The 19,417-nt window shown below is 43.7% G+C and overlaps 2 protein-coding genes across 12 annotated transcripts in view, besides 1 other annotated feature; one reads left to right on the forward strand and one right to left on the reverse strand.

Annotated features, from left to right (window-relative positions):
• The window catches only part of SNRNP40 (small nuclear ribonucleoprotein U5 subunit 40), a 37,221-nt gene extending 36,681 nt beyond the window's left edge, over nt 1-540 (reverse strand). The window contains exon 1 of the mRNA NM_004814.3: nt 363-540. Within this exon, the coding sequence (NP_004805.2) occupies nt 363-503 (141 nt within the window). The 5' untranslated portion in view covers nt 504-540. The remainder of the gene's footprint in view (nt 1-362) is intronic.
• Nucleotides 309-518: an enhancer, noted in NCBI's record as "active region_641". NCBI's record gives its function as "activates an Ori minimal core promoter by ATAC-STARR-seq in GM12878 lymphoblastoid cells {active_cell/tissue: GM12878}" and the evidence as "EXISTENCE:reporter gene assay evidence [ECO:0000049][PMID:35858748]".
• The window catches only part of ZCCHC17 (zinc finger CCHC-type containing 17), a 67,905-nt gene continuing 49,271 nt past the window's right edge, over nt 784-19,417 (forward strand). For 6 of the 11 annotated variants that reach the window (NM_001282569.2, NM_001282573.2, NM_016505.4 and 3 more), the window contains exons 1-2: nt 784-827; nt 13,796-13,916. Coding sequence is in view for 6 of the 11 variants with exons in the window: in NM_016505.4 (NP_057589.2) it covers nt 13,851-13,916 (66 nt within the window). In the remaining 5 variants the exon portion in view is untranslated. Of the gene's footprint in view, nt 966-13,795; nt 13,917-19,417 lie in introns of all 11 variants that reach the window. The other 5 variants (NM_001282567.2, NM_001282570.2, NM_001282568.2 and 2 more) reach the window with 4 other exon arrangements.

Raw genomic sequence — 19,417 nt, forward strand, 5'->3', positions numbered from 1 at the left:
TTTTTCTTCCCTCCCTCATTCATTCATTCTACACACTCTTCGGAATTTTTGTTCTATGCCAGATCCATGTTAGAGTCAGGATGCTTAAACCCGGGTCAGGGTTTTGAGCCCAAGGTCCTCAACTCTAATTCTAATGCTATCTCAGGGCAGTCGAGAGGCTGAAAACGGGCGCCAAACGGGGGAACACGTACGCAGCATTCGCAGGCTATGGGGAGCTTTTACAGTGTTTATGTGCTTTAACTCTGCGTAGAAACTCTCGTTCTGCCCCCGCAATGCGGGAAAGGGTCAGGGATCACCAGATACAGCGCTCTGAGGGGAGGAAGATGAGCTGAGGGCCAAAGGCCGCCTGCTTCTTCACTTACCGCTTGCAGCAAGGCTCCCGGCGTCGCCTGCTGCTGCCCGGCTCCTGGGCCAGACCCCGCTCCCAACAGCAACTCATGCCGCTGCCGCTTGACTGGAACCAGCGGCAACTCTGGGCCCTTACGCTTCTGCTGTTCTATCATGGCGGCAACCGGTCTCTTCAGCGCCGCCACTGACCGCGCTGCCGCTCTCAGGCGCCACGCAATTGGTTCCAAATTAGTCCTTCCTCCACAACTTCCAGCTTGGAAGAACCAATCGGCTTTCAATATTTCCATTTGCACCGCCCTCGGATAGTCTCTTGTTATTGGGCATATCTTTCTGACGTCATGAGAGTGCGATACCAGGATTGGTGGACGGAGCTGGCGACCGCCCTAGGCGCGCTGGGTCTTGTGGGTGGAAACGCGCTGGCTGACTGGGGTCGGCGTTTAGTTCAGCGCAGCGACTCGGGGACCTGGAGCTGACGCCTAGTACGTATGAGGAAGAACGGGGTGGGTGGCTGCCTGAGTCTGGAGGCGACGCCTCGGTTGTGCAGTCTGAACCTGCCCTTCTCAGCTGAGGGTGCTGACAGCAAGGGGTGGGAGGCGGGCCCCGAGTCCCCAGCTGTGGTAAGTAGTAGCCTGGGCTCCCTTTCGGGGCAGGAGCGGAGCCTTGGGGTCTCTGGCGGCAAGACCCAGCCCCTGCGGCTCCCTTCTTCAAGAGCGCCCATCGTGGCCAGTCCTGTGCCGGGCATTCCCAGGGAGAAAGGCCTGCGTCCCAGCCTCCTCCGGTGCCCCATTTGGCCGAGGAGGCTGACTTGTTTCTGCCACTGATTTTGCAGTTTTTGATCAGGGCCTACTGTATGCCCCCCTGAGAGAGACAGTGATGAAGGAAATGTCCGACTCCTTCTCCAGAGCACAGTCTTGTTGAGAAATTTGAGACTCATGCCCATGAACGTGGTCATTGCCTCAGTCGTCCTGCTGATATTCATTTAGCAGCGCGTTGGGGGTATGTTGTGAACCGGGCACGGTCCCTACTCTCAGGGCGTTTAACTCTGGTGGGGAAAACGTTAAACAATGACCTCACTAATACATGGAAATGCCTCCTACTGCTGCCTGATGCTATGAGTGCCTGAAATAAGCAGGAAGGTTTTTCAGAGGAAAAGATGCCTGCGCTGGTAGCTGCAGGAAGTGTTGTAATTAATTAGGTGAAGAAGTGAAGGCAGAACCTTCCATAGAGAACTACTTGTTCAGAGCCCTGAGGCACTTGGGAGGAAAATGACTAAAAGCACAAAGAGCCAGTGTGGCTGGTACAAAGAGAATGAAGGGAGTATGGTACAAGATGAAGCTGTACGTGATAGCGGTCAGACCTTGCAGGAATTTGTAGCTTTTATTTTAAAACGGATGAGATACCACTGAGCCGTCTTCCCCCAGTGGGGTGTGGTGGAGGAGGGGACTTGATCCCTCAGGCTCAGTGGTGTGAACAGACGGGGGTTGGGGAAGCCCTAGTCGATGTATGTGGACCACTTGGGATATGCAGTAATCCTGGTCAGAGATGTCAGTGAGGACTGAGATATGGGTGGAACTGCAGAGAATTGGACAGATTCTAGAGGTATATAGGAGGTAAAATGGGTGGGACTTGGTGATGGGTTGATTTTAGGGAGTGAAGAGAGGAATCAAAGGTAACTCCTAGGTTTCTGGCTTATGTAGTTGAATAGATGGTGGTACCATTCACTCACTATCACGGAATCCCTCAAGCTGGATAGGGAACACTAGAAGATGATTAGAGACCAGTTTTTTTTTGTTTTTTTTTTTTTTTTGAGACAGGTTCTTGCTCTGTCGCCCAGGCTGGAGTGTGGTGGTGCAACCTTGGCTCACTGCAACCTCCACCTCCCAGGTTCAAGCAATTCTCCTGCCTTAGCCTCCCCAGTAGCTGGGATTACAGGCGCCTCCACTGTGCCCGGCCAATTTTTGTATTTTTGGTGGAGATGGGGTTCCACCATATTGGCCAGGCTGGTCTCCAACTCCTGGCCTCAAGTGATCCACCTGCCTCAGCCTCCCAAAATTCTGGGATTACAGGCCTGAGCCACTGCTCCCAGCTGAGATCAGTTTTTATTGATTGATTGATTGATTGTGTGGGGTCATTCATGACATCCAAGAGGCAGTTTGAAATACAGCTTTGTGCTCAGAAGAGAGATTTGTGTTGGGAATATAAAATTGGGCATAATTTGTATATACATGAATTGAGCCATAGGTGTGGGTAAGGTCAGCTAAGTCAGAACCTTGACTAGTTCCAACATTTAATGGTGAAGAACAGGTGAACCTACAGGAGATACAGAAGAAAGGAAGGAGGACTGGAAGAATGTCTCAGAAGCAAAAGAATGATTTGTGATAGAAATTTCTAGAATTTAAATAACATGAAGATTGAAAAACATATTTTGGCTTTTATCATCATGGAGGTCACAGTAACCTTAGCAAGAGTTATTTTGTTGGTGTGATTGGGCCAAAAGCCAGATATGAGGCAAGGATTTGGACAAGAAAATGTAGGTAGTGAACCTACACAGTATTTTTCATAGATCTGATTGTAAAGAGGAGGAGAGGATGTGCTAACCGATGGGGATAAGGGATTATCCAGGATCCAGTTGAGGATCCAGTTTTGAGAAATTTGAGAATATTGTAGAAGATTTGAAAGTCACTGTGGAGTGTGGGAGAATGAGGTTACTAGAGAAATGTAGGATGCAAGGAAAAAAAAAATTTTTTTCCAGCATATCCAGCGGTTTAGTGCATGCATGGAGAAAACCTTTCTGGGTATGGCAAGGACATCGCTTGCTCAAGACACATTCTAACCTCTAATATGTCTTCTCTTCCTGAAAAATCTGGAAAACTAAAAACCATTTTCTTGACTCCCTTGCACCTAAGGTGAAAATTGAATTTGGAACTGAGTTAAATGTGGAAAGAAGGAGGGTGTGAGTCATCCAGTTTTGCTGCCAGTCATGGCAGTAAATTTCTCCAGTCAATAGCTCCCTGGTTTGGTGGCTTGCTGCAGTGATAGCCATAACTTTCCTGGATTGTGGCAAAGGTGGTATTATTTTGTGGGTTAGGTGTTGTTCCTGGAAGTTCTGCCAAAGTCTTTTATTGCAATACATCCCTTACTGCTTAAGTGGGTTCTGTTGTCTGCAACTGTCCCTGACCAGGTTAGAGGTACTGCCAGAGAGTTAAATATAAAGACAGAGTTAAAGGGAGTTTAGGGTGTTGTTGGAATGATGGGCTATGGAATCTAAGCTGGATTGGAAGAAAACTGAAGAAAAAGGGGAGGGCTGATAGATTGGAAGAAAATAGAGGCCAATAAATCAGGGTTCTAATGAGGTCAAAGAACAGTATTCTCTGCTAGAGGATTTCTGTTTATCCTAAAAGGCTTATTCAGTTATCTGTTTAACTTCTCTACTTCCCCCAGACCCTCTTTCTCTTCCTAGCTACTACTTTTGTTTGTTTGTTTTGAGACAGTCTTACTCTGTTGCCCAGGCCGATTGCAGTGGCATGATTATGGCTCACTGTAGCCTCGACCTCCCAGGCTCCAGTGATCCTCCCACCTCAGCCTCTCCAGTAGGTGGGATAACAGGTATGTGCCACCATGCCTGGCTAATTGTTGTATTTTTTATAGAGATAAGGTCTTGCCATGTTGTCCAGGCTGGTCTCAAACTCCTGGCCTCAAGTGATCTTGCTGCCTTGGTCTCCCAAAGTGCTACGATTATAGGCATAAGCCACCATGCCTGGCCCCCAAGCTTCTGCTTTAGCACTTATCACATTGCAGTGTAATTGGTGTTATTTTGTGGGTTAGGTGTTGTTCCTGGAAGTTCCGCCAAAGTCTGTTATTGCAATACATCCCTTTCTGCTTAAGTGGGTTCTGTTGTCTGCAACTGTCCCGGGCTAGGTTAGACATACTGCCAGATAGTTAAATATAAAGACAGAGTTAAAGGGAGTTTAGAGTGTTGTTGGAATGATGATATCTGATATCCCTATCAGATTAGGAGGTCTTTGAGAACAGGGACTGTGTTGAAAAGGGTGGTTTAGGCCGGGTGCTGTGGCTCACTCCTATAATCCCAGCACTTTGGGAGGCCGAGGCAGGTGGATCACCTGAGGTCAGGAGTTCGAGACCATCCTGACCAATATGGTGAAACCCTGTCTCTACTAAAAATATAAAAATCAGCTGGGCATGGTGGTGTGTGCCTGTAATCCCAGCTACTCGGGAGGCTGAGGCAGGAGAATCGCTTGAACCTGGGAGGAGGTTGCAGTGAGCTAAGATCGCGCCATTGCACTCTAGCCTGGGTGACAAGAACAAAACTCTGTCTCAAAAAAAAAAAAAGAAAAAAAAGGGTGGTTTAGTGGCAAGTGTGTGTGGCCCTTGGAATGGCCTAAGATTTGTCTCTTTCTTGCTGTGTTGTTTTGGACAAGTTATTTCATTCCTGTAAAATAGGATTACTTGCTTTGTAGAGGAGTTTTAGGGATTGAAAGCAGGTTTATAAAGTACCTTATATATAAACATCAATCAATAGCATACTGAATTGATGAATTAACAATTTAAATGGGGTAAAATTAAATACTTCACTATTTTAGTAGACAATTTCCATGTGTGTTACACTGTGCTAGGCACTGGAGATTTGGGGAGGAAGGATATGATGATGTGCAAGACAAAGGCATGCTTACAAGAGTTCCACACTCTACAAAGGGAGGAAAAAAATGTCCCTAAAAATGATTTGAATCCCATCCCCATCATTCATATTTTGCAATCTTGAGCGAGTTTACTTAGCTTCTCTTGTGTCCTCATTTTTAAAATGGCAATGATAATTGCCTGTTTTATGGGATAGTCAAGAAGAGAATTATTGAATGTCATGAAGATAAAATTTTAAAAAGAAAAATTAGTTAAGAGAAGTAAAGCTCTTAGATTAATACATGGCAGATATGAAGCACTCAAATATTAGCTATTATAAGACTTTGAAGGGATCTTAGGAATAATTGACTGAAAGTGTAGTGTCGAGTGGTAGAATAAGTGCTGATCCTGGGGTCTTATACCAATGTTGCTAACTGTGAGCAGCCTTTGTCAAATCACTTGGCTTCATTTTCAGTGGCCTAAGAGTAATAGGTTTAATTATTTCCATAATTCCTTTAAGTTTTTACATTTTCTGAGTTCATCTTTTGTGTTTTTCCTGGCATTTTACTATTCCTCTTTCCTGCTTTTGGCTATTTTCTCAACAGGTCCACGACTGGAATTTGAAAGCAAGAAGCATCTATCTTACATGGTCACTCTAGAATTTGGTGGGAGGGAGGAAAGTTGGACCACCAGTTTGACATTTGAAAGTGTCCCGGCCGGGTGCGGTGGTTCACACCTGTAATCCTAACACTTTGGGAGGCCGAGGCGAGCAGATCACTTGAGGTCAGGAGTTTGAGACCAACCTGGCCAACATGGTGAAACCATGTCTCTACTAAAAGTACACAAATTAGCTGGGCATGGTGTTGCATGCCTGTAGTCCCAGCTACTTGGGAGGCAGAGGTGACAGAATCACTTGAACCCGGGAAGTGGAGGTTGCAGTGAGTCGAGATCGCACCACTGCCCTCCAGCCTGGGCAACAGAGCGAGACTCCATCTTAAAAAAAAAGAAAAAAGAAGTGTTCCATCTGTTGATCTGTCCAACATATTAAATGGGACCTAGCTCCTTCTTCTTCTATATCCTTTAGACCAGAATGTGTTCCCCCCTCTTTCTCTACCTGTGCTTGGCATATAGTGAGGCTCAGTTCACTCATTTAAAAAAAACTGAGTACTTGTAGTATACCAGACCCCAGGAACACAAAATCAAATGAGAAATGGTCCTTGGTTTCATGTTTGAATGAATGGATCCAGACGTTGCTCATCCTAGCTCTTCCATGAATGATATCCACATTGATTCCTCTAATGTTGGGACCTAGTTAGTGTTAGAGCTATATTCTACAAAATTTAGATTTAGACCGTGTATTAGCCCATTTTCACACTGCTCTAAAGAACTCCCTGAGACTGGGTAATTATAAAGGAGAAAGGTTTAATTGACTCACAGTTCTGAATTGCTGGGGAGTCCTCAGGAAACTTATAACTCATGGCAGAAGGTGAAGGGGAAGCAAGGCACGTCTTAAGTGGTGTCAGAGGAGAGAGAGAGAGAGCAAGAGAAACTGCCACATTTAAACCATCAGATCTCGTGAAAACTCTGTCACTATCATGAGAACAGACTGTGGGAAACTGCCATGATCCAGTCACCTCCCACTAGGTCCCTCCCCCAACATGTGGGGATTACAGTTCAAGATGAAATTTGGGTGAGGACACAAAGCCAAACCATATTCGATTGTGAATTCTTTTTGAGGTATAGTGCTTAAGAATGCAGGCTCTTGGCCGGGTGCCATGGCTCATGCCTGTAATCTCAGCACTTTGGGAGGCTGAGGTAGGAGGATTGCTTGAGCCAGGAGTTCAAGACCAGACTGGGCAACATAATGAAATCCAGTCTCTACCCCCCCTCAAAAAAAAAAAAAATTAGCCAAGCTCGTTGGTGTGTTTCTGTCCCAGCTACTTGGGAGGCTGAGGCGGGAGGATAGCTTGAGCCCAGGAGGTCAAGGCTGCAGGGAGCCATGTTTGGACCATTGCACTCCGGCCTGGACAACAGAGTGAGACCCTGCCTCAAAACAAAAAACAAAGCAAACAGTGCAGGCTCTGGAGTCATTATTCTGTCTCTGTTCATATCCTAGTAGTTTTAGTTAGCTTACTTTGCTCACAATTCCAGCACAGCTTAAAGATAAACTAAAATTCCTTTAAATTCTTAGGGTTCTAGTCAATTAGTACTCAAGTAACAAAAAAATCTAAATCCAAACAAGCTGGAAAATGATAACAACAAAAATCTTGACCAGGTCAGTAAGGTGACACATTAAATGAAGTTCCAAAAAGGCTATAAAATGTCTGGCCAATTTAATATTGTTCTTTAAACTTTTCATTGCTTGGGGGATAGGAGGACAGGATGTGTAGGGTTTTTTTCCCAGTTGCATGTGTACTTTAAAATTTTTTTTTGAAACTATCACATAATTATGGAAGCATGTACAGATAACATTTTTCTGAATTATTTGAGTTAAATTGCTGACCCAATACCCCAACAGCCCTGAAAACTTTTTTTCCTACAAACAAGGACATTCTCCTCTATAGCCACAGTGTAATTACCAACATTATGAAATTAACATTGCATTACTTCTTTGATCCTCAGGCCCCACCTCTTGATGCTCGAGCTCTGACTACCCATTCTGGGCTGCTCCAGTGTGTGCCTTCATCACCTTATTCTTCCCTATATTGCAGTTCTCTTTGTAGATTTCCTCCTCACCCAGCTTAGACTCTGACCTCACTCTGGGCCACCATTTCTTCTCCTGTATCCTTTACTTCCATCCCATACTTTCCTTTCTCTGTCCCTTGTTTTGGAAAGAGAGTGGCTAGTAATTGGTCCCCTGTTGCTTCCCTATGTAACACAGTTGTTTAAAACATGCAAGCAAAATGCTTTGTTCTGCATTCAGAGCTATTGCAAGGCAACTCCAAATGGTGTACCTCAATCCTTGTCGACTTACTGGCTCTTTTAAGTGTATGAATGTGGTCCTGTCTGACTGACTGTATCTATCTTAATGTTATATACTCTTTTTTTTTTTTCTTTCTGAGACAGAGTCTCTGTTGCCCAGGGTGGAGTTGCCCAGGGTGGAGTGCAGTGGCATGATCTCGGCTCGCTGCAACCTCCACCTCCCATGTTCAAGTGGTTCTCCTGTCTCAGTCTCCCGAGTAGCTGGGATTACAGGTGCCCACCACAATGCCCAGCTAATTTTTGTATTTTTAGTAGAGATGGGGTTTCATCGTGTTGCCCAGGCTATTCTCGAACTCCTGGGCTCTAGTGATCCACCCGCCATGGCCTCCCAAAGTGCTGGTATTAACAGGTGTGAGCCACCGTGCCTGGCTCAATGTTATATACTCTTATTTTTTTTTTTTAGACGGACTCTCGCTCTGTCGCCCAGGCTGGAGTACAATGGTACGATCTTGGTTCACTGCAAGCTCCACCTCCCAGGTTCATGCCATTCTCCTGCCTCAGCCTGCCGAGTAGCTGGGATTACAGGTGCCCGCTGCCACGCCTGGCTAATTATTTGTATTTTTAGTAGAGATGGAGTTTCACTGTGTTAGCCAGGATGGTCTTGATCTCCTGACCTCGTGATCCACCTGCCTCAGCCTCCCAAAGTGCTGGGATTACAGGCGTGAGCCACCACGCACGGCTGTATACTCTTTAAAAGTAGCAGAACTCTTTTTTTTTCCAAGTGAAATCTTACACAGAATTTTAATATGTAAACTGGATCAAAGCAGAATACGTTGTTACAGTAGGCACCCTTGCAGTAATTCTCACTCACTCCCCCTTTCACTGTGGCCCACCATAAGGTTGGGAGATTAACTGTGAATCAGTAATAATTGACCTTTGCCTAATTACTGAGGAGAGGCTTCTACCCAACTGCTCTGAGTGGGACTTCTCCCAGCTCTAGTTTCTTTGGGGGTTCTACTCCCTCAGCCTTTGGTATGGAGGCTCACCTCTGGTTGGTTGACTTAGAGGCAGCCTCACTGGTCTGGGACCTTGTGGTGACCTAGATATTTCAGAGTTGACTTTTTTTTTTTAATTTCTTTTTTTTGAGACAGGGTTTCATTTTGTCTTCTAGGCTGGAGTGCAGTGGTATGATCACGGCTCAGTGCACTCTCCATCTCTTGGGCTCAAGTGATCCTCCTGCCTCAGCCTCCTGAGTAGCTGGGACAATAGGCAGGTGCCACTATGCCGAGCTAATTTATTTTATTTTTTGTATTTTTAGTAGAGATAGGGTTTTACCGTGTTGTCCAGGCTGGTCTTGAACTCCTGACCTCAAGCGATCCACCCACCTTGGCCTTCCAAAGTGCTGGGATACAGGCGTGAGCCACCATGCCCGGCCATAATTTTCTTTTCTTTTTTTTAAAAAATATTTTGTGGAGATGGGGTGTCGCTGTGTTGCCCAGGCTGGCCTCGAACTTCTGGTCTCAAGCATTCCTTCCACCTCAGCCTTCCAAAGTGCTGGAATTACAGGTGTGGACTACTGTACCTGGCCTGGAAGTTGACTTTTTAAAAATAAATTTGGATTAACTAAGGAGCCTCTGAGTAACCGCAATAGAACCCTCGGTTTCTACAGAATTTGAAAAAAAGTTTTATATTCCATATTTAAAAAATGACAACCATTTACTTTCCTGAAATTGTAAACCTGTTATAGTCATACCCCCTTGTTCATGGGGGATACATTCCAAGACCCCCATTGGATCCCTAAAATTGTGGGCACTGCTGAACCCAGTTGCTATCAATTGGAAGACGTTTCTGTTTGTATTTTCTACCCACAAATTTAATGCCTTCTCCATCTTAACTAAGCACTTATCATACACTGTGGCTATAACTTTAGCAGTTTGAGGTGCAACAGCAAAACTAACATGAATGTTTTTTTCTTCCTCACAATTTCAGACATCGAAGATTCATTCTTACTATAGATCTTAGCAACCTTAGCATACAATTTTTTTTTTCCCCTTGAGAACTTTCACCCTTTCACTTAAAGGAAGCAGTTTACAGCTTCTCTTTGGTATACCAAAATTGCCAGCATTACTACTCTGCTTCGTGGCCATTATTAAGTAAAGAAAGGATTATTTGAACACAAGCAGAGATACTTCAACAGTCAGTCTGATAACCAAGATGGCTACTATGTGACTAATGGGCACTTAATATACACTGAGTGACTAGTGTATGCAGCATGGATACGCTGGACAAAGGGGATGATTCATATCCCAGATGGAACAGAGTGGGATGGCACAAGATTTCATCACACTAATAAGAACAACATAACAGTTTTAAGCTTATGAATTGTTTATTTCTGGAATTTTTCATTTGGTGTTTTTGGACCGTGGTAGACTGTGAGTAACTGCAACTGTGGAAAGTACAACTGTGGATGGGAGGACTACTGTACTGTTATATTTCAGGCTTTCCCTCAAAAATGCATGCCAGTTTTTTTTTGAGATAAGGTCTCACTGTGTCGCCCAGGCTGGATTGCATTGGCATGATCGTACCTCACTGCAGCCTTGATCTCCTTGGCTCAAGCGATCCTCTTGCTTCAGCCTCCCAAGTAGCTGGGATTATAGGCTGGTGTCACCACACCTGGCTGATTTTTTTTCTTTTTTTCTTTTTGAGACGGAGTCTTGCTCTGTCACCAGGCTAGACTATAGTGGGGCCATCTCGGCTCACTGCAGTCTCCGCCTCCCGGGTTCAAGCAATTCTCCTGCCTCAGCCTCCCAAGTAGCTGGGACTACAGGTGCGCACCACCATGCCTAGCTAATTTTTGTATTTTTAGTAGAGACGGGGTTTCACTATGTTGGCCGGGATGGTCTCGAACTCTTGACCTTGTGATCCACCCGCCTTGGCCTCCCAAAGCGCTGGGATTACAGGCGTGAGCCACTGTGCCTGGCTGATTTTTTTTTTTTTTAAGTAGAGATAGAGTCTCACTGTGTTGTCCAGGCTGGTCTTGAACTCCTGGCCTCAAGTGATCCTCCCGCCTTAGCTTCCCACGATTACAGTCGTGAGCCACTGCACCTGGCCCCAGTTTCCTTCTTGAAGAATTGCATGGGGTTTCTTAGGCCACTGTTCTACAAGAGGTATAAATCTGGGAGCATTAAACCTAGCTTTTTGTATGCTTATCACAGCAGAAGTCTGTAAGCAACAATGTAAGTTCATTTCTGCTTTAGACTTTTTTTTTTTTTTTGAGATGGAATCTTGCTCTGTTGCCCAGGCTGGAGTGCAGTGGCCCAATCTTGGCCCACTGCAGCCTCCACCTCACCGGTTCAAGTGATTCTCCTGCCTCCAGAGTAGCTGGGATTACAGGCGCCTGCCATCACGCCTGGCTGATTTTTGTTGTTTTTTTTTTTTTGGAGACGGAGTCTCACTGTGTCATCAGGCTGGAGTGCAGTGGCACAATCTCGGCTCACTGCAACCTCTGCCTCCTGGGTTCAAGCAATTCCCCTGCCTCAGCCTCCCAAGTAGTTGGGACCACAGGTGTGCACCACCATGCCCGGCTCATTTTTTGTATTTTAGTAGAGATGGGGTTTCACCGTGTTGGCCAGGCTGGTCTCGAACTCCTGACCTCAGATGATCCACCCGCCTTGGCCTCCCAAAGTGCTGGGATTACAGGCGTGAGCCACTGCACCTGGCCTATGACCTTTGTGTGTAGAGTAACAGATGATAGATTAAGATGTTTGAAGTTAATTTAGATGTTTCAGCTGCTGGTGCCCCTATGGATTCTGTACCTCACTAATACGTTTCAAGTGTTGGAGGGATAATAAAAGTCTCCTGATAGAACCTGATAGATTAGTAACTCCTGTTCTAGCATGTGAGGTGAGGGATACTGGACAGAGGGAAAGGACAGGCTAGAGATGAGATTGTATTGCTATGAAATGGAAGAGGCAGGATTTAACCAGAATGTAAAACTTGGAATTAACCTGTTTATGAGCTATTTCTCAAGAACTGACAAATCTGCCTGTATTAGCTCTGTGTACTTTTAGTACAGTAATAAAAAGACACTTTGGCTGACCTAAGCAGAAAAGGGCAAGTTTAGTATAAGGATATAAGATTATCTTAGGGAGCTTGAGGACAGGGATGTTCCTGAGCTGTGGGATAATACTAGAACAAGGGTTTGGATGTCCTGAAAGGATTTTCTTTCATTTCTGTTTCAAGTGAAGCTGTCAATTTAATGGATGGTCATTGTAAATCGGGAATACTTACCAAAATCAGGACATCAAGTCATCCTCTGAAAGTGAAAGGAAGCAGTGGGGGTTGAGGAGAGAAGAAAGTATTTACCTGTGAAAACACAAGAAAAATAATTTCAGGTCTTACTGGTGTCAAATGTAATTGGGAGGAAAGAGAACTGAGGATAGTACCATTAGATTTATCTTGGCAGTGATTTATCCAACAGAGTAAAGAGGCATGTTTAAGAGCCGCTAGATTGCTGGTTTCCCCTCTGTTTAAGATCAGGAGGCTGAGCAAGATTATCTCTAAGGTAAGTATCCAAAGCTGTAAGTTTTGCTACTTAGGCAGTATCAGTGTCACCTAGTAGCTGGTTGAAAATGCATTATCTCAGGTAACACCTCAGACCTACTGAACTGCAATCTGCATTTTCACATAATTCAGAAATAGTTAAATGAATTTGGTACATCCAACAATGGATTATTAGGTACGTGTTAACAAAAAGTTGTGTATGCGTATGAATTGCTGTAGTAAGAAAATGATTTCATGATTCCATTAAAAAACCACTTCTACATATAAAAAAACTGTAAGAATATAGATCAAATTGAATTACAGGTGATTTCATTTTCTTTATTATTAATGTATTATCTGAATTTTTTTATTATCTGAACTTTCACAGTGTGTATGTGTTTTAATTTTATCAAGAAAAAAAAAGTAAGCCCTTTTCTCTTTGAAGTCACTTCAGATTTAATACCTTAGCATAGTAGTTAAGAGAATGGACTCTGGAGTCAGCCAGTTTGACTCCCCATTTCCTGGCTTTTTGACATGCTTAGTAATTTAACTTCTGGAAGCCTTTGTTCTCTCATCTGTATAATATAATAGTAATAGAACTTACATTTTAAGAGTTTTGAGAATTGTTTTGTTTTGTTTTTGAGATGGAGTTCGCTCTGTTCCTTAGTCTGGGGTGCAGTGGTGTGATCTCTCACTGCAGCCTCTGCCTCCCAGGTTCAAGTGATTCTCCTCCCTCAGCCTCCCAAGTAGCTGGGACTACAGGCTCCTGCCACTATGCCTGGCTAATTTTTGTATTTTTAGTAGAGATGGGATTTCGCTATGTTGGCCAGGCTGGTCTGGAACTCCTGATCCTGAGATCGTCCGACCTCAGCAACCACAGTGCTGGGATTACAGGTGTGAGCCACCATACCCAGCCTGAGTTTTGAGAATTAAACGAGATTGCATGTCTAGTGCTTAGCACAGTGCCTGGACATAGTAAGTGCTGCATTAATGTTTTTATTTCTGTTATTCCATTTTTTTGAGATCCGGTCAAACATACTTAACATCTTTTCCCACCCTCCCCCAAAATTCTTCCCCGGCAAAAAAAATAGCAAAAATAGCAATTTAAAAAAACCAAACACAACAAAATTAGTAGCCTAATGGCCTTGGGTAAGTAACAAATTGTTGAGAAATAGGATCAAGGTTTCCAAAACTCCCCACAATTAGAATAAACAAAAGAGATTTGGATAAAAGTGTATGGTGTTAAATCTAGTGGTATTATTCTGTAGAGAATAGCTGTGGATTGTCTGCATATTCATTTCTTTAATGCAGATATCTCTCTAATTGGTGTCTGATTTCTTTATGACAGGACACTTGTATTAGCTTTAATAGAAGAGAAATGGAGGAGCCATAGAATATTAAGGATGAATTCAGGAAGGCCTGAGACCATGGAAAACTTGCCTGCTCTCTACACTATTTTCCAAGGAGAGGTATATTCTTTTGTGCTTTGAAAACCCACCATTTATGTTAAAATAGATTAAGGGTGACAACTGGGTTTGTTGTTCCTGTCCACTTAAGTCTGTCTTGAGCATTACAGCTTAAATGGGAAGGGCCAGCGGAACATCTGGCAATCACATGTGCCTTCTCTAAGCTCCAGATATTTAAGTGCGTAGTTGACATCGTCATTGGAATACCAGCATGTGTAATTTATGTTTTAAAATGAATTTATTTTTTCACTGCTGTGGTTTGAATGTGTCCCCTAAAAAGCATGTTTTGGAAACTTAATCTCCAGTGCATCAACGTTGGGAGGTAGGACCTAGTAGGAGGTATTTAGTTCTTGAGGGCTCCACCCTCCTGAAGGGATTAATGCCAATTACTGAAAGGCTTGAGGCTGTGAGTTTGATCTCTTTCTCTCCTTCTTACCCTCTTACCTTCCACCATGGGATGACACAACAAGAAGATTCTTGCCAGATGCTGGCACCTTGCTCTTGGACTTTCCAACCTCCAGAACTATGAGCCAAATAAATTTCATTTCTTTATAAATTATCCAGTCTCTGGTATTCTGTTAAAGTAACACAGAACATACTGAGACACTCAAAAAATTGTTTCTCTTCTAGATGTTTTCACCTCAACAAATAGAACCACTATCCTGCAGGTTCCCAGACTACACATCTGGCCATCACCCTTGATTTCTCTTCTTGATTTGATTTTGATTTTCCCTCCCACTCCAGTCTATTTGCAAGTCCTAATTATATCTCTGGTCTATGTACTTCTTTATCCCCTTGGCACCCTATTAGTTAAAACTCTCTATCTCTTGCCTGGTCTTTACTGGGATCCCTGCTTCATCGTAGCTCCTCTCCAGTCTGTTCTTCACATTGTAGCTAGCATAAGATTTTTGTTTTTGTTTTTGTTTTTTAATTCTTTTTTAAAAATTGAGCTGGGGTCTCACTATGTTGCCCAGGCTGGTCTCAAACTCCTGGGCTTAAGTGATACTCCCACTTCAGCCTCCCAGAGTCCTGGGGTTACAGGCATGAGCCATTGTGCTTGGCCTAGAATAAGATTTTTAAAGTAGGTTGGACATGTTGCTTTCTCACGGCTCTTCAGAAGCTTCTCATTACAATTGAATACAGACATGGACCTTCCACAGCTTGCCCCTGGGTGCTCTCACAATGTTGTTTGTTCTACCCTGCTCGTAGTCAAGACACACTGGCCTCCTTAATAGCTTTGAACAGTCTGAGTTCTTGCTCTCTCTTTAGGATTTGTGCACATGCTGTTTTCTTTTTAGTCTGTGCTGCTATAACAAAATACCTGAGATTGGGTAATTTATAAAGAACAGAAATTTATTTCTCACAGTTCTGGAGGCTGGGAAATCTAAGATCAAGTTGTCAGCAGATTTGGTGTCTAGTGAAGACTACTCTGTTTCCAAGATGGCACCTTCCTGCTGCATCCTCTGGAGGGAAGAAATGCTGTGTCCTCACATGACGGAAGGGACAGAAGGAGCGAACTCACCCTTTCGAGCCCTTTTATGAGGCACTCATCCATTCATGAGGGGCCTAAGGGCCCCACCTCTTGATACCATTGAATTGGGGATTAGGCTTCAAAGTGAATATTGGAGAAATACCAAAGTTCATGTTGAACTTTAGTCCCCCCCGTGGGGGTATTAAGAGGTGGTATTAAGAAGTATTAATCACTTGGGAAGTGGTTAAGTCATGAAGGCTCTGCCCTTGTAAATGTGATTAATGCCCTTATAGAAGAGGCTACAGAGAGCTGCCTGGCCCCTCCATTCCTTCTGCTGTGTGAAGACACAGCATTTGTCACCTCCAAAGGACACAGGAATAAGGTGCCATCTTGGAAGCAGACAGTGAGCCCTTATCAAACACAAAATCTGCTGGCACCTTGATCTTGAACTTCCCAGCCTCCAGAATTGTGAGAAATAAATTTCTACGGTATTTTGTTATAGCAGCACCAACAGACTAAGACACTCTTCCTTTTAACTACCCACTTTCCCATCATCTTGTATTCATCCTTTAGGTCTCAGCCCTAATGTCTCCTCAGAATTTTTTTTACCCATCATAAATAAATCGGTTCACACTGTATTTAATTATATACTTGTTTAATGTCTATCTTCCTCACAGGACACTAAGCTCCATGAGGGCTGAGTTGTGTCTGTTTTGTTGTATATCTCAGTCTTAGGTGGATGGGTAGAAAATAGTAAGTGCTTGATACATTTTTGATGACCGAATGAATTATCAACCTTTGGTAGAGAAGGCATATTTGTTTCAAGAGCAGAGGCTTTGAAACCAGACAAAATCGGGATTCTAGTCCCAGCTCTTTTTGCTTGCTATGTGAGCCTTTAGGGTGTCACTTAATCTCTTTGAACCTCAGTTTTCTTGTTTGTTAAATGGAGGTTCCATTTATTCACAGTAATTCTCTTCCATAGAATTACTGTGATGGTTAAATAAGCTATCATCTATAAGAATACAATGCCTGAGACATAGTAGGAATTAATTAATGTTGGCTCCCTCCTCTTGAAGTGAAAGTAAAGCCAAAAAATTGTTTTCAGTGTCTTACAAGAGCATGTAGTTTGCTTGTTCATTTGTTTGAGACAGAGTTTTGCTCTTGTTGCCCAGGTTGGAGTGCAATGGTGTGATCTCAGCTCACTGCAACTGCTCACTGCAACCTCCACCTCCCAGGTTCAAGCAATTCTCCTGCCTCAGCCTCCTAAGTAGCTGGGATTACAGGCGCCCACCACCACACCCAGCTAAATTTTGTACTTTTAGTAGAGACAAGGTTTCACCATGTTGGCCAGGCTAGTCTCCTGACCTCAGGTGATCCACCTGCCTCGGCCTCCCAAAGTGCTGGGATTACAGGTGTGAGCCACCACACTGGGCCTCTTTTTTTTTTTTTTTTTTTTCTTTTTTTTGAGACAAGATCTCACTCTGTTGCCCAGGCTGGACTGCAATGGTGTGATTTGGCTAACTGCAACTTCCACCTCCTGGGTTTTAAGTGATCCTCCCACTCAGCCCCCGAGGTAGCTGGGACTACAGGCACACACCACAACACCTGGCTAATTTTTCTGTAGAGACAAGGTCTCACTATGTTGCCCAGGCTGGTCTTTTGAACTCCTGAGCTCAAGTGATCTGCCCACCTCAGCCTCCCAAAGTGCTGGGATCAGGCGTGAGCCATCGCACCTGGCCTGAGCCTATAGTATTTTAATGGTATCATTTATACTTGATATTCATACTTGGCATTCATACTTGCTTTATATGGTTGACAAAAGTTTTACATCCTAATAATGTGAGGTCTTGGAGGGCAGACTTTGTGATTATCAGTCAGTTATAGATAATTGTGGCTCTTGACTTCTGTTAAGTTGATCCCAACTTGTAATATAACAGTCAAGATACAAAGTATAATACCATTTTAACACATAGCAAACAGCTCTGCTCTTTAAAGCCTCTGTCCTTTTTCTTTATGGCTCATGGTATCCCCAAAGGTTAGTAAGGTACCGGAGCTCAGAAGAAGGAAGTGTAGCACTGGAGGTGAAACTGATTTTTCTGATCATGAAGCCCTCACTCATCAGGTGCTGCCCAAAAGAAAGGGAAGAACACTCTGCCCTCCACAGAATAACTCGGATTTCTAAAGTGGATCCTAACCTACAGCTCGCTCTTTTCTTTTCTCTTCTCTTCTCTTCTTTCTCTTTTTTTTTTTTGGACAGAGTCTCACTCTGTCACTCAGGCTGGAGTGCAGTGGTGCAATCTCGGCTCACTGCAACCTCCACCTCCGGGTTCAAGTGATTCTCCTGCCTAAGCCTCCAGAGTAGCAGGGACTACAGGCGTCAGCCACCACGCCCGGCTAATTTTTTGTATTTTTAGTAGAGACAGAGTTTCGCCATGTTGGCCAGGCTGACTTCAAACTCCTGACCTCAGGTGATCCACCCACCTCGGCCTCCCAAAGTGCTGGGATTACAGGTGTGAGCCACTGTGCCTGGCCACCTACAGCTTTCTTATATGAGATGGAGCTTGAATTAGTGCAGGTTTTATATATTACTATCAAGGATGGATGGTCTTTAGGAATGTTCAGAGAGAACTTTATAGTTCTAACTTACTATTTCAGTAGCATATTTTGAAAAGGGATGGTTTAGAAGTGACTTGGAGTTAGGGAAAGAGAAATACGATAAATTGGAAAGAAGAAACTTTTCAGAATATTCATCCAATAAACATTTAATGAGTACCCAATATTTACAAAGAAGAGGAGTTACATTAAAATTGAAAAAAAAAAAAAAAGGTGTAAGCCTAATCTATGCCAGCACTTTCACACATTCTGTCTTATTGAATCTCTCCAAAGAAATTGTTAACTCTATTTGATAGATAGGGAGACTCTTCTCAGAAGTTAAGTAATCGCCTAGGGATTAATAAATGGCAAAGCTAGGATTCTAAATCAGGTCCTCTTTCCAAGTTTACTTTCTGCTAAACTGCAGCTGGGGTTGTGCAATTGTACATAAATGTGTGGAGGAACCAAAAGACCCATGAGAATTCTTTTTTTTTTAAGATGGAGTCTTCCTCTGTCGCTCAGGCTGGAGTGCAGTGGGTTCAAGCGATTCTCATGCCTCAACCTCCTGAATAGCTGGGATTACAGGCGCATGCCACCACACCTGGCTAATTTTTGTATTTTTAGTAGAGATGGGTTTTCACCATGTTGACCAGGCTGGTCTCGAACTCCTGACCTCAAGTGATCCATCTGCCTTGGCCTCCCAAAGTGCTGGGATTATAGATGTGAGCCACCGCACCCAGCCAAGAGAATTCTTTTGACTGAATTGAGTTATAGGAGGAATATAGATAAATTTGGTGGTTCTACAGTCATTTGTTGGTACAACTCTGTTACAGCATTTATCCTGGTCTGTCTTGTATTATTATTACTTGTATGTGTCTCTCTCCACTACTAGATCGTGAGTTACTGTAGAGCAGAGGCCATGATTGTCTCATATGTCTTGGTAACTACTTCAAATTTATTTAAAATGACTGGGCATCCCTTTTTTAAAGTTGTCTTTATTTCATAGTACCTGACATGGTATCTTGTACATAGTAGATAGGTGCTTAAAATGGAGCCCAAGCCTCACAGGACTAGTTGTCCTTGAAGAAGGTGGTGTTTCAGCCCATGTCCCAGCTCTTCTCTTGCTGAACTTAGCAGGGATTTGGGACCTAGTAATTAAATAGCTGAGAAGCCAGTATTCATCCTGTCATCCTCTGAGAAGCATGTTGGTAGCAGAGTGCATTATATTAATACATGGTAGGAGGTACGAGCATAGCAATGAGACTTGGGATTTGGCTTAGGCTTGCCATAGCCCAAGAAATGCTGAGGGGAGATTCATGTTGGTAAGGTCGAAATAGCATTGGACTAGAAGTAAAAAAAAAGTCTGTGTTGTACTTGGCTGTGCTACTATCTTTGTGACTTTTGACAAGTAACTTATGCCCCTGAGCCTCAAATTCTTCAT

The sequence above is a fragment of the Homo sapiens genome, chromosome 1, assembly GCF_000001405.40.
Source record: "Homo sapiens chromosome 1, GRCh38.p14 Primary Assembly".
Taxonomy (NCBI): domain Eukaryota; kingdom Metazoa; phylum Chordata; class Mammalia; order Primates; family Hominidae; genus Homo; species Homo sapiens.